This window comes from Homo sapiens, chromosome 4 (genome assembly GCF_000001405.40).
Source record: "Homo sapiens chromosome 4, GRCh38.p14 Primary Assembly".
Classification (NCBI taxonomy): domain Eukaryota; kingdom Metazoa; phylum Chordata; class Mammalia; order Primates; family Hominidae; genus Homo; species Homo sapiens.
In genome coordinates this window covers 149,583,862-149,596,356 of record NC_000004.12, presented here as the reverse complement: position 1 = coordinate 149,596,356, position 12,495 = coordinate 149,583,862, and the positions used below count along the sequence as shown (strand labels likewise).

Below are 12,495 nucleotides of genomic sequence, written 5' to 3'. Positions count from 1 at the left end.
AGAATGGAATTCCATTACTTTCCCATCAGCTCAGCCATGCATTAAACAACATCTTTTATTTTTATGTTTTTAGAATTTATTGTTGGATTATGTTGAGATTTGTTACTATGAACATATTCCTAGAAACAGCAATCCCCTTGTATCTTTTTTCAAATAGATTCCAACCTTTACAGGGGCTTATATTGGGATGCAAAGCTCCCTATCCATTTCCCTCCTTCTCTTCAGCCTGTGTATTGCCTCCTACACTTAGCTTAAATGTCTACATAAATGATTAAATTTCTGTGGTTTTAATTTTTTGTGAAGGTTAAAGAAATTTTCTCTAGTGACTGGTAGATAAGCAACATGTATTTTTCTGTGTCATCTTCTCCAGTCTTTCCTAATCTGAATGTTGAATGGCTTTTTGAAGCCATGGCTATTACAAAGTGACCAGCATTATCTTTAGGATACCTTCACCTCTGTAAAGAAATGTAAATAAAGGGAATACTACACTTAAGACCACCTTCCAAAGTGGAGGCTGGTCTGGCTCCATGAGAAGATTTTGCATAACTCCCATGGGTGGTTATATGGCTTTTAAACCATCCTGTGGTTTGTTTGCATTCCTGGAAGCTCTCAAATTCAAGAATGTAAAGAGATTGGCTTGTGAAAAATCTCAGAAAGATGTGTTTGGTACCTCCTGATTCTGCATGTGTGCAAGTGATTGACATTTTTTCTGTTTAAATCGTATTAGTAGCAGCATAAAGAATGCAGCCCACTGCTATTTCACAGAAGGCGCTAGGGACATGACTGACTTCTTCAGGGCAAATGCTAGTGTTAATAGCCCAGCCTGGCAGAAAAAAACTCTTCAGTTTACTTCACATGTTTTAATATATAATTTGTAATTTTATATGTATTTGCAATTAATAATTTTCTCTTCACAGTACCTATTTAAACAAACATTTCGTATTATGTGAGTGATGTGTTTATTAATGTTTCTGGTAGGGTCACAAGGTTGTTTAAAACCGAGAAAATCCCTTCCTACTTAAAAAATAAAGGGATGGAGGAAGATCTACCAAGCAAATGGAAAACAAAAAAAAGCAGGGGTTGCAATCCTAGTCTCTGATAAAACAGACTTTAAACCAACAAAGATCAAAAGAGACAAAGAGGGCCATTACATAATGGTAAAGGGATCAATTCAACAAGAAGAGCTAACTATCCTAAATATATATGCATCCAATACAAGAGCACCCAGATTCATAAAGCAAGTCCTTAGAGACCTAAAAGAAACTTAGACTCCCACATAATAATAATGGGAGACTTTAACACCCCACTGTCAACATTAGACAGATCAACGAGACAGAAAGTTAACAAGGATATCCAGAAATTGAACTCAGCTCTGCACCAAGTGGACCTAATAGACATCTACAGAACTCTCCACCCCAAATCAACAGAATATACATTCTTCTCAGCATGACATCACACTTATTCCAAAATTGACCACATAGTTGGAAGTAAAGCACTCCTCAGCAAATGTAAAAGAACAGAAATTACAACAAACTGTCTCTCAGACCACAGTACAATCAAACTAGAACTCAGGATTAAGAAACTCACTCAAAACCGCTCAACTACATGGCAACTGAACAACCTGCTCCTGAATGACTACTGGGTACATAATGAAATGAAGGCAGAAATAAAGATGTTCTTTGAAACTAATGAGAACAAAGACACAACATACCAGAATCTCTGGGACACATTTAAAGCAGTTTGTAGAGGGAAATTTATAGCACTAAATGCCCACAAGGGAAAGCAGGAAAGATCTAAAATTGACACCCCAACATCACAGTTAAAAGAACTAGAGAAGCAAGAGCAAACACATTCAAAAGCTAGCAGAAGGCAAGAAATAACTAAGATCAGAGCAGAACTGAAGGAGGTAGAGACACAAAAGCCCTTCAAAAAATCAATGAATCCAGGAGCTGGTTTTTTGAAAAGATCAACAAAATTGATAGACCGCTAGCAAGACTAATAAAGAAGAAAAGAGAGAAGAATAAAGTAGATGCAATAAAAATGATAAAGGAGATATCACCACTGATCCCATAGAAATACAGACTGCCATCAGAGAATACTATAAACACCCCTATGCAAATGAACTAGAAAATCGAGAAGAAATGGATAAATTCCTCGACACATACACCCTCCCAAGACTAAACCAGGAAGAAGTTGAATCCCTGAATAGACCAATAACAGGCTCTGAAATTGAGGCAATAATTAATAGCCTACCAATCAAAAATAGTCCGGGACCGGATGGATTCACAGCCAAATTCTACCAGAGGTACAAGGAGGAGCTGGTACCATTCCTTCTGAAACGATTCCAATCAATAGAAAAAGAGGGAATCCTCCCTAACTCATTTGATGAGGCCAGCATCATCCTGATACCAAAGCCTGGCAGAGACACAACAAAAAAAGAGAATTTTAGACCAATGTCTCTGATGAACATCGATGCAAAGATCCTCAATAAAATACTGAAAAACCGAATCCAGCAGCACATCAAAAAGCTTATCCACCATGATCAACTGGGCTTCATCCTTGGGATGCAAGGCTGGTTCAACATATGCAAGTCAATAAACATAATCCATCCTATAAACAGAACCAAAGACAAAAACCACATGATGATCTCAGTAGATGCAGAAAAGGCCATCGACAAAATTCAACAACGCTTCATGCTAAAAACTCTCAATAAACTAGGTATTGATGGGACATATCTCAAAATAATAAGAGCTATGTATGACAAACCCACAGCCAATATCATACTGAATGGGCAAAAACTGGAAGCATTCCCTTTGAAAACTGGCACAAGACAGGGATGCCCTCTCTCACCACTCTTATTCAACATAGTGTTGGAAGTTCTGGCCAGGGCAATCAGGCAGGATAAAGAAATAAAGGGTATTCAATTAGGAAAAGAGAAAGGCAAATTGTCCCTGTTTGCAGATGATATGATTGTATATTTAGAAAACCCCATCATCTCAGCCCAAAATCTCCTTAAGCTGGTAGGCAACTTCAGCAAAGTCTCAGGATACAAAATCAATGTGCAAAAATCACAAGCATTCCTATACACCAATAACAGACAAACAGAGAGCCAAATCGTGAGTGAACTCCCATTCACAATTGCTTCAAAGAGAATAAAATACCTAGGAATCCAATTACAAGGGATATGAAGGACCTCTTCAAGGAGAACTACAAACCACTGCTCAACGAAATAAAAGAGGACACAAACAAATTCAAGAACATGCCATGCTCATGGATAGGAAGAACCAATATCGTGAAAATGGCCATACTGCCCAAGGTAATTTATAGATTCAATGCCATCCCCATCAAGCTACCAATGACTTTCTTCAAAGAATTGGAAAAAACTATTTTAAAGTTCATATGCAACCAAAAAAGAGCCCACATAGCCAAGACAATCCTAAGCCAAAAGAACAAAGCTGGAGGCATCACACTACCTGACTTCAAACTATACTACAAGGCTACAGTAACCAAAACAGCATGGTACTGGTACCAAAACAGAGATATAGACCAATGGAACAGAACAGGGCCCTCAGAAATAATACCACCCATCTACAACCATCTGATCTTTGACAAACCTGACAAAAACAAGAAATGGGGAAAGGATTCCCTATTTAATAAATGGTGCTGGGAAAACTGGCTAGCCTATGTAGAAAGCTGAAACTGGATCCCTTCCTTACACCTTATACAAAAATTAATTCAAGATGGATTAAAGACTTAAATGTTAGACCTAAAACCATAAAAACCCTAGAAGAAAACCTAGGCAATACCATTCAGGACATAGGCATGGGCAAGGACTTCATGTCTAAAACACCAAAAGCAATGGCAACAAAAGCCAAAATTGACAAATGGGATCTAATTAAACTAAAGAGCTTCTGCACAGCAGAAGAAACTACCATCAGAGTGAACAGACAACCTACAGAATGGGAGAAAAGTTTTGCAATCTACCCATCTGACAAAGGGCTAATATCCATAATTTACAAAGAACTTAAACAAATTTACAAGAAAAAAAATCAAACAACCCCATCAAAAAGTGGGTGAAGGATATGAACAGACACTTCTCAAAAGAAGACATTTATGCAGCCAACAGGTATATGAAAAAATGCTCATCATCACTGGCCATCAGAGAAATGCATATCAAAACCACAATGAGATACCATCTGACACCAGTTAGAATGGCGGTCATTAAAATGTCAGGAAACAGCAGGTGCTGGAGAGGATGTGGAGAAATAGGAACACTTTTACACTGTTGGTGGGACTGTAAACTAACTCAACCATTGTGGAAGACAATGTGTGGCGATTCCTCAAAGATCTAGAACTGGAAATACCATTTGACCCAGCCATCCCGTTACTGGGTATATACCCAAAGGACTATAAATCATGCTGCTGTGAAGACACATGTACACGTATGTTTATTGTGGCACTATTCACAATAGCAAAGACTTGGAACCAACCCAAATGTCCATCAGTGATAGACTGGATTAAGGAAATGTGGCACATATACACCATGGAATACTATGCAGACATAAAAAAGGATGAGTTCATGTCCTTTATAGGGACATGGATGAAGCTGGAAACCATCATTCTCAGCAAACTATCGCAAGGATGGAAAACCAAACACCGCATGTTTGTGCTCATAGGTGGGAATTGAACAATGAGAACACTTGGACACAGGGTGGGGAACATCACACACCGGGGCCTGTCGTGGGGTGGGAGGAGAGGGGAGGGATAGCATTAGGAGATATACCTAATGCTAAATGACGAGTTAATGGGTGCAGCACACCATTATGGCACATGTATACATATGTAACAAACCTGCACGTTGTGCACATGTACCCTAGAACTTAAAGTATTAAAAAAAAAAACCTTTAACCACATTTGGATGTAAGTGTTGGGGCATAATAGGCCAATTATAAATTACATATTTTATAATTTTATGCTAATAGGAGTTAAATGAAATGTATCTATAATTAAGATGCAAAAATTGAAGGCTAAAGGTTTATGGTTTATTAATGAAAGAATTTAATCATTAGACCATGAAGGAATTGTCAAAAGAAAAAATCATCCAATGATATTTGAAAAGAGGAAGGGAATTGATGAATTATACAGGTGCTTTTTTAGAAAGAAGCCTCAGGTGTAAAAATATTGTGTAAATTATCAGAAGCTTGGTACCAGTTAAACTGTGGGATTTGAGAAAATATGTGGGGAAAAGGAGTATGAAAAGTAGTTTTCAATACATCTATTTAGGTTGTTACAAAAATTTGAAAATTTTTCCAGGGGAGTTTAATAAATGACTTACATATTCAGCCAAGTGTTTAGAATGTGTCACTCCAAATGCATTGGCCTGGGAAGACCAGGTTTTTAAAGAAGGATGATAAATCATTCTACTGTAAAGACACATGCACACATATGTTTATTGCAGCACTGTTCCCAATAGCAAAGACTTGGAACCAACCCAAATGCCCATCAATAATATACTGGATAAAGAAAATGTGGCACATATACACCATGGAATACTATGCAGCTATAAAAAAGGATGAGCTCATGTTCTTTGCAGGGACATGGATGAAGCTGCAAACCATCATTCTCAGCAAACCAACACAGGAACAGAAAACCAAACACCGCATGTTCTCACTCATAAGTGGGAGTTGAACAATGAGAACACGTGGAGACAAGGAGGGGAACATCACACACTGGGGCCTGTTGGCAGGCAAGGGGCTAGGGGAGGGATAGCATTAGGAGAAAAACCTAATGCAGATGATGGATTGATGGGTGCAGCAAACCACCGTGGCATGTGTGTACCTATGTAACAAATCTGCACGTTCTGTACATGTATCCCAGAACTTAAAGTATAATAATAAAAAAAGAAGTTGAAAGAAGCAGGTAGTGGCTGTGTAAAGAAGAGAGAAAGAATTTAAGAGAAAATAGAGGTGAAACATCAAGGCAGAATAGACTTGAGATGTGAATATATAAGTATGTAGAAGACTAAGACTTAGAAAAACACCAGACCCCTTATAACAAAGGCGATATTTACTTTTCAAAAAGGAAAGCAAAAAAAAAAAAAAAAAAAAAAGGAAAGAAAAAGAAAAAATCAATTGCTAATTATGTTAGGTAGAAAACATCAATGGAGGTTGCAAAGGCAGTGAAGTTGGAAGAGAGAAAATAGAATCACAGAGGACATCTAAAGAAAGGAAATCCTCAGGAATGTTTGTCTGAGATTGTTTTACTTAACAGCCTTCACATTTGCCACCCCTTATTATGGAGAATGTGCCAATTCAGTTAGTGTGGCCAAGAAGGAAGGACTTGAAAAAAAATTAAGTTGGCAAGTGTAAACAGTAGTAGCACAGAAGGACAGTGTGTCCCAATCCAAGTGTATTGTTTTGTGTAAAAGTATGAAATATCAAGATTAACAATTTTTTTCTGGCCATTAGTATTTTTATAGCCATGAAAATGTGTCACGGAACATCTTGAGGGTAACATTTAAAATATAGGTCCTGCTTCCTGCTTTATTATCATTTACGTGTTGTACATACATTTAAAAAAGTACAGTATTATTCTTGAGGATTATTGTTTACTTTGAAAAAGGAAACATGATCAGGGAATTCTAAATGTAACAAATATTGAGAGATGATGCACAACAATTTTCCGGGTTATTGTTGTGTTCCCGAAGAAAGGTCAATGTTAGTTCTTAAGAAATGAATGCCATGAAATGAAATTAACACTTACTAGTAAGATTGCATCTGAGATGGCAGCATAAGTCAGAATGAAGCTTAACTCAGTAAAAGAGATTTGTGATTTGTTTAAAATGTTTTAGAAATCAGTGTATGTCAATGCTGAGTATTTTTGCAGGATAAACACACTTTCTTCCACGTTTCATCTTTACATTGGCTCTTTATATCTCTTGAGAGTTTATAGAAGAGACATTTTTGGCTTTAGTTGTCAATGACACCTTTGAAACTTAAAATGCAAAACTAAAATAATCACTTTCCTTGTGGTATCATGAGCACACCATATATCACTGACCAATAAATTTTTGTTACTGACTTCTTAGAGCGCCTGAGGGAGACAACAACACTAACAACTCAAAATCCTCTAACCATTTTACTCATTTATCAAGTTTACTTCAAATTCCTCTTCCCTATTTTTTAAAAGCTATTTTATACAAAAATTGTCCTGGAAGATTATAAAGTAGATATGCAAGCCATCAGTGCCTCTAGCTATCAATTTTACATTTGGACCACACTGAATGACCAGACAGGCAATGGCCCAGTTTTTCTGGGGTCTTGTAGAATTATCTTCCTCAGTTATTCTTCTTATCTTTGACTAATATTGAAGGATTATATAAGAAAAATCCATAAATTGTTGGAAGTGATGCTGTTGAAGCTGGTATATTATGCCAGGTTTATTTGAAAAACCTATGGAAGCAATTTTTCACTGAAAATAAGCTTGCTTTGTTACAGACATTGTGAATGTTAGAACTACTGTTTTATTTGTTACTGTGTGTTTTAGTGTGTTAGGGATACCATAAGAAAATACTGCAGACTAAACAACATAAATTTATTTTCTTACAGTTCTGGGGGCTGGAAGTCCAAGATTAAGGTGTCCGTGGGGTTGGTTTCTCCTGATGTTTCTCTCCTTGGCTTGAAGATGGCCATCTTCTTATTGTGTCCTCACGTGGCCTTTTCTTGGGTATCTTTTCCTCGTCTTATAAAGTCATCAGTCCTGCTGAATTAGGCCCCGCCCTTTTGACCTCATTCAGCCATAGTTACTTCATTAAAAACCTTATCTTCAAGTACAGTCACATTGAGGGATTAGGGCTTTGACATATGGATTTAGGGGAAGCACAGTTCAGTCCATAACACCTCAATAGTTAGGTTTTTGAGAGCCAAATTTCAAATATCACAAATTATCAGAGCATATTTGGCATTATTTTTCTACCCATATTTTCCCCTTCACTGGATTTTATTTCCCTTTTGCATATGTACTGTATTTATTAAAAGGCATCTTAAATCTCTTTTGTAAGACAGAGGACAAATAAATAAATAAATAAATAAAATTCTGATCTATAATATAGTTGTAAGGATATTTGCTCATTAAAATAACTAGTAGGAACTGTATTCCTAGGTGCTAAAAGGTTCTGAAGGAGGTTCAACAGTCATACCCCTCTGAGTATACTAAAAAATGTATATAAATGTGCAGATTCATAATATATATTATAATGATTCTCCCTTTGATAATATAACAGAACGTCAATGGAATTAAAATTTTATAGGTGATAACATTGTTTTTCTACTTATGTCAACTCTTCTTTTCCTTATTATAGAAAACCTTTAAAACCCTTATTAAAAAGGAGCGACAACCTATCAAGCCAGAACCAAAATCACAACCCAGGTATATCTTTTATATAATAGAAAAGTGTAAATTAATGCACTCATTTTTGTTGTTATCAATGTAATTGCTGACTTTAATAACTAGGTTTAAGGAAGTATAGGTTGTTGAAAGCTCAGGTTTTAATACATATTTTTCAATGTGGCCTTTTAATTTGACGGAGGAAAGGAGAAAAATACAGTTTTTTGAGTGTTTTAGTAATCAGTTAGTAGACCCAGCTGAAGTTTTACTTTTCAGTATCTAGGAGAAAGCAGTGGAAACATTTAATTTGCCATAAATGACAGTAAATGCCGTAAATGACAGTAAATGACAATGCCGTAAATGACACTGCATATGTTTTAGCTATTTTTTTTTGTTTGTTAGAAACTATGTACCACAATTCACTAGGGTTAAGCATGCATTTCAATGACTCTATTAAAAACTCTTAGATTGCTTTGCTACTTTATATACTTTGTTGATAAACTGTTTTGAAAACATTGATTTTGTGAGAGAGATTAGAGCGTGAGATTGAAAGAAGCAATTGTGGAAAGTTAACAATGAAGTTTCGAAAAGGGCAGATTTTATACTTGTATTTTCTTATTCACTGGGAATACATTCATTTATTAATTATAAATGATTATAAGCTAAAAAAAGAATATTTGAAGGCACTGGAGAGTGATGGCATGTGGACAGAAACTGGAGGGAAACTATTTGACTCTTGAAAGAAAGGAACTGCAATGGGTAAGATCCCCATTTATCTAGCTTTTCCAACGTCATGCAGTGTAAGATAGTGAGAACTTAGGCAGAAAACCTCAGTGTTAATGGTGTGAAATGTCAGAAGACAGAGTTTAGAGCTGCCAAAATGACTAAAAGTTGATTAGGAAATTTCATAAAAGGAGAAAACCACAGAGAGAGGAGTCCCAATTCTGTGTACAAACTCTTCTAAAATTATGGGCTGACTCCTGAATTGTGCATGTGTAGAAAAGACTTCAAGAAAGTACATCCTAAAGTAACAGCTTGCATAGTTTTCAATTGCTTCATCTGTTTACATAGAAAGAAAAAAAGATTTTTCTCTTTCTATGGATGTTGGAATTAGCAGATAATGGCTTTAAAGCAGTTACTATAAATGTTCAAAACTTAAAAAAGGTGTTCATAATAACAGGAGATCCCCAGTGCAGAAATAAAAGCTATACAAAAGAATCAAATGAAAATTCTACATATAGCAGATTTTAACAAACCATTAATTAATTTGCCAAAAATGACAGTTATAGAAGACTACATCCAATAATGTAGAATATACATTATTTTTAAGGGCACATGTAACAGGTTTTATAAAGATAAGAACAGAAAGCAATGAAATAGAAATTAGGGAAACAATAAATCAAATTAACAAAGCACATTAATCTTTGAAAAGATTAATAAAATTTATGTGCTCTTTTTAAGACCAGTTTTTAAAAAAGAAGAGATAAAACACAAATTACCAATATCAGGAATGAAAGAGAGGGCATAATTGTATATCCTATAGACATTAGAATAATAATAAAATAATATGTAAATAACTTCATGTCATTTGCATTTAAGAGGAAGTAGTCTAGTTTTTTGAAAACAGATAGCATACCAAAACTGACACAAGAAGAAATAGAAAATCTGAATGACCTGTGTCTACTAAAGAAATTGAATTTGTTTTCAAAAACCTTCCCACGGAGAGACTTCCTCTAAAGCAAATAAATTATAACAGTCACATGTACATTATTTTGAAAATATTTGATGGTGTTCAAAGCAGTTCGTGTTCTTGCATAAGTCCTTTTCCTAGAAATATTCTTTACCTGGTTAATTTGGGAAGCCTTTTTTCCTTACAGATGTTACTAAGTTAAAATTACTCCAGCCATTTCAATGATAAAAAATTGGACAGCCTCCACGATGAATGTTTATTATAGTTATTTCCCTGGAGCCAGCCAGCCAGTCAGATAATCTGGACTCTAAACATTTTTCTGTATAGTCTACCCTGTGTAAGTTTTTCAGGGATGTCTTAAATATTTTAAAGAATGATGGCTGAAGGAATTTTAGACATCACTTGGTTCAATCCTTCTATTTTCCAATTAGGAAAATTGGGATAAAAAAGATTTAGTGACTTCTTCAAGGTCCTGAAAGTAAAAAACAGAACTGTGACTAGAATCTAAATCTCACCTCACAGCATAGTGATATTCTTAGTCAGTCATGCTTCTTTTATACCATTTGTATCTTAAATTTTAATAGGCTTTCTGATGATTACTTAAGAGAGGTAAATTGAAACTATACTTAATAAATTATTAAACTTGAGTGGCTTTAGTGATTTAAAAATATTACTGGCATAGAATCAAAGAGAGAGAGAAATATGAAAGAGTGAAATTGAATGTGAAAATAAAGCAAAGTAGTGAACAATATAAAACTATATATATGTATATATGTGAGATTTTATATATGTCTATATAAAATACACAAATGTACTTAATTGAAAATATTTAAGTAAATCAATATTAAGATTCTCTTCTTTATTTGAAATCCTGCACCATTTCTATCATAAAAATTCCACGAAACTTTAGAGTCCACATGTTGGATTTATAGCTTTGCCTAAAGAACTTTTCTTGTTACAGAGGAATTTCCCATATATTTTTCGGCTAGAGGTTTCCTTACAGCCTGCATGAGGCAGAGTATATTATAACCTTCCATCAGTCATCAGTCAACTTCAATAAAGTACTGGCTAATTTCTAAAGTACTTTTGTGTTTCAAGGGTAAAAATATGTCACACATATATTACTATTGCCAGGCTACAGTAAATATAAGAGAGTCTCTTTTCCCCCATCTCTTCTTGGTTATAGAAAAAAAGATGATGGAATTAATTTACACATACCCACAAGCTTTGCGGGAACCCTTTACAGTTGGCAAATAGGACTGGTTTATGTACCCACTCAGCAGTATTTTTTTAAAAGAGGCAGTCACTTGGCTGTTAAAAGGTGGGAGTGGGGAAGTTAAGCAAACTAAAAAATGCTGCAGCAGCACTTGGTCTGGAATGACTGCTAATGTGAACACCCACTCCTATTCTTGGTTGCCTTTGCCTTATATGGATAAATAGTGGTGGATAAGTCAGAGTCCTGGTTATTTCTCTCCTAATCTTCAATGATCACAAAGCTAAAAAGCAAATTTCAAATTCATTTGTCATTGTTGTTGTTCATCTTCCTGTTTTCTTCAACTGTAAACATTTCAATATTCAGAAAGGGAAGAAAAGATGGTTGTATAGTGCTTGGGTACTTTTGTTTGTATATGTACAAGTATATATAAGATTTTCCCTTAGAAGCATTATTAAACAGAGCTATAATGTTAAAATCTCACACATTTAGAATGAATTTACTGGGTTGAAAAGACTGCATAGTGAATATAGATACTTGATTTAATTTGGGAGTTCTTAAATATATTTATGTATTTTTATGAGAAAAAGTTTATCTTTTTGCTATCATTTTATAATTCTGCTATATAAGTATTCATTTCATATACACCTATGCTCAACATTTATACTAAATTATTTTCATAGATGAAAACTTATAAAACAAAATTGCTTAATATCTGAATTTTTCTACTTCCTCAATATTTTAATTTAAATGACACATTTTCAAATTGTTAGAACTCCATAAGTTTCTGAAAGTTGTTAGAAATTCATAAGATTAAAATATGGTTGAGAAATTCTAAAACCATTTTTAAAGGAAAAGAAGTTTATGTTAAACATTTCAAAGAAAGCCAGAAAATCTCAGTTCAATCAGAATTGCCAAAGGAACATTTTTCTGTTTTTTAAATAAAATATCTATTTGTCTTAAAAAATTAAATACCTCTAACCCAGATAGAATTGATTCAAATAAATGTTGTTCTTAATTTTTAGTTTAAATAAATGTAATGTGTACATGAATGATAGTGTATACATTTATTTTTTATTTTTATAAAGGTAAAGATTATTTTGTGATGAAGTGGGATCTCATTTTTTCCTAGCATCATATTTTTCAACTACTTCTTTATTAATATATTTTCTCTTTTTTAGTATAGTATCCTTAATATAAAATATCA

General features: G+C 34.5%; 1 protein-coding gene across 16 annotated transcripts in view; it reads left to right on the top strand.

The window, feature by feature from the left end:
- IQCM (IQ motif containing M) overlaps positions 1-12,495 on the top strand; it is a 464,135-nt gene that overhangs the window by 219,487 nt on the left and 232,153 nt on the right. For all 16 annotated transcript variants that reach the window (NM_001378180.1, XM_017008904.3, NM_001363507.2 and 13 more), the window contains one exon: positions 8,360-8,427. In NM_001378180.1, coding sequence (NP_001365109.1) covers positions 8,360-8,427 — 68 coding nt within the window. The remainder of the gene's footprint in view (positions 1-8,359; positions 8,428-12,495) is intronic.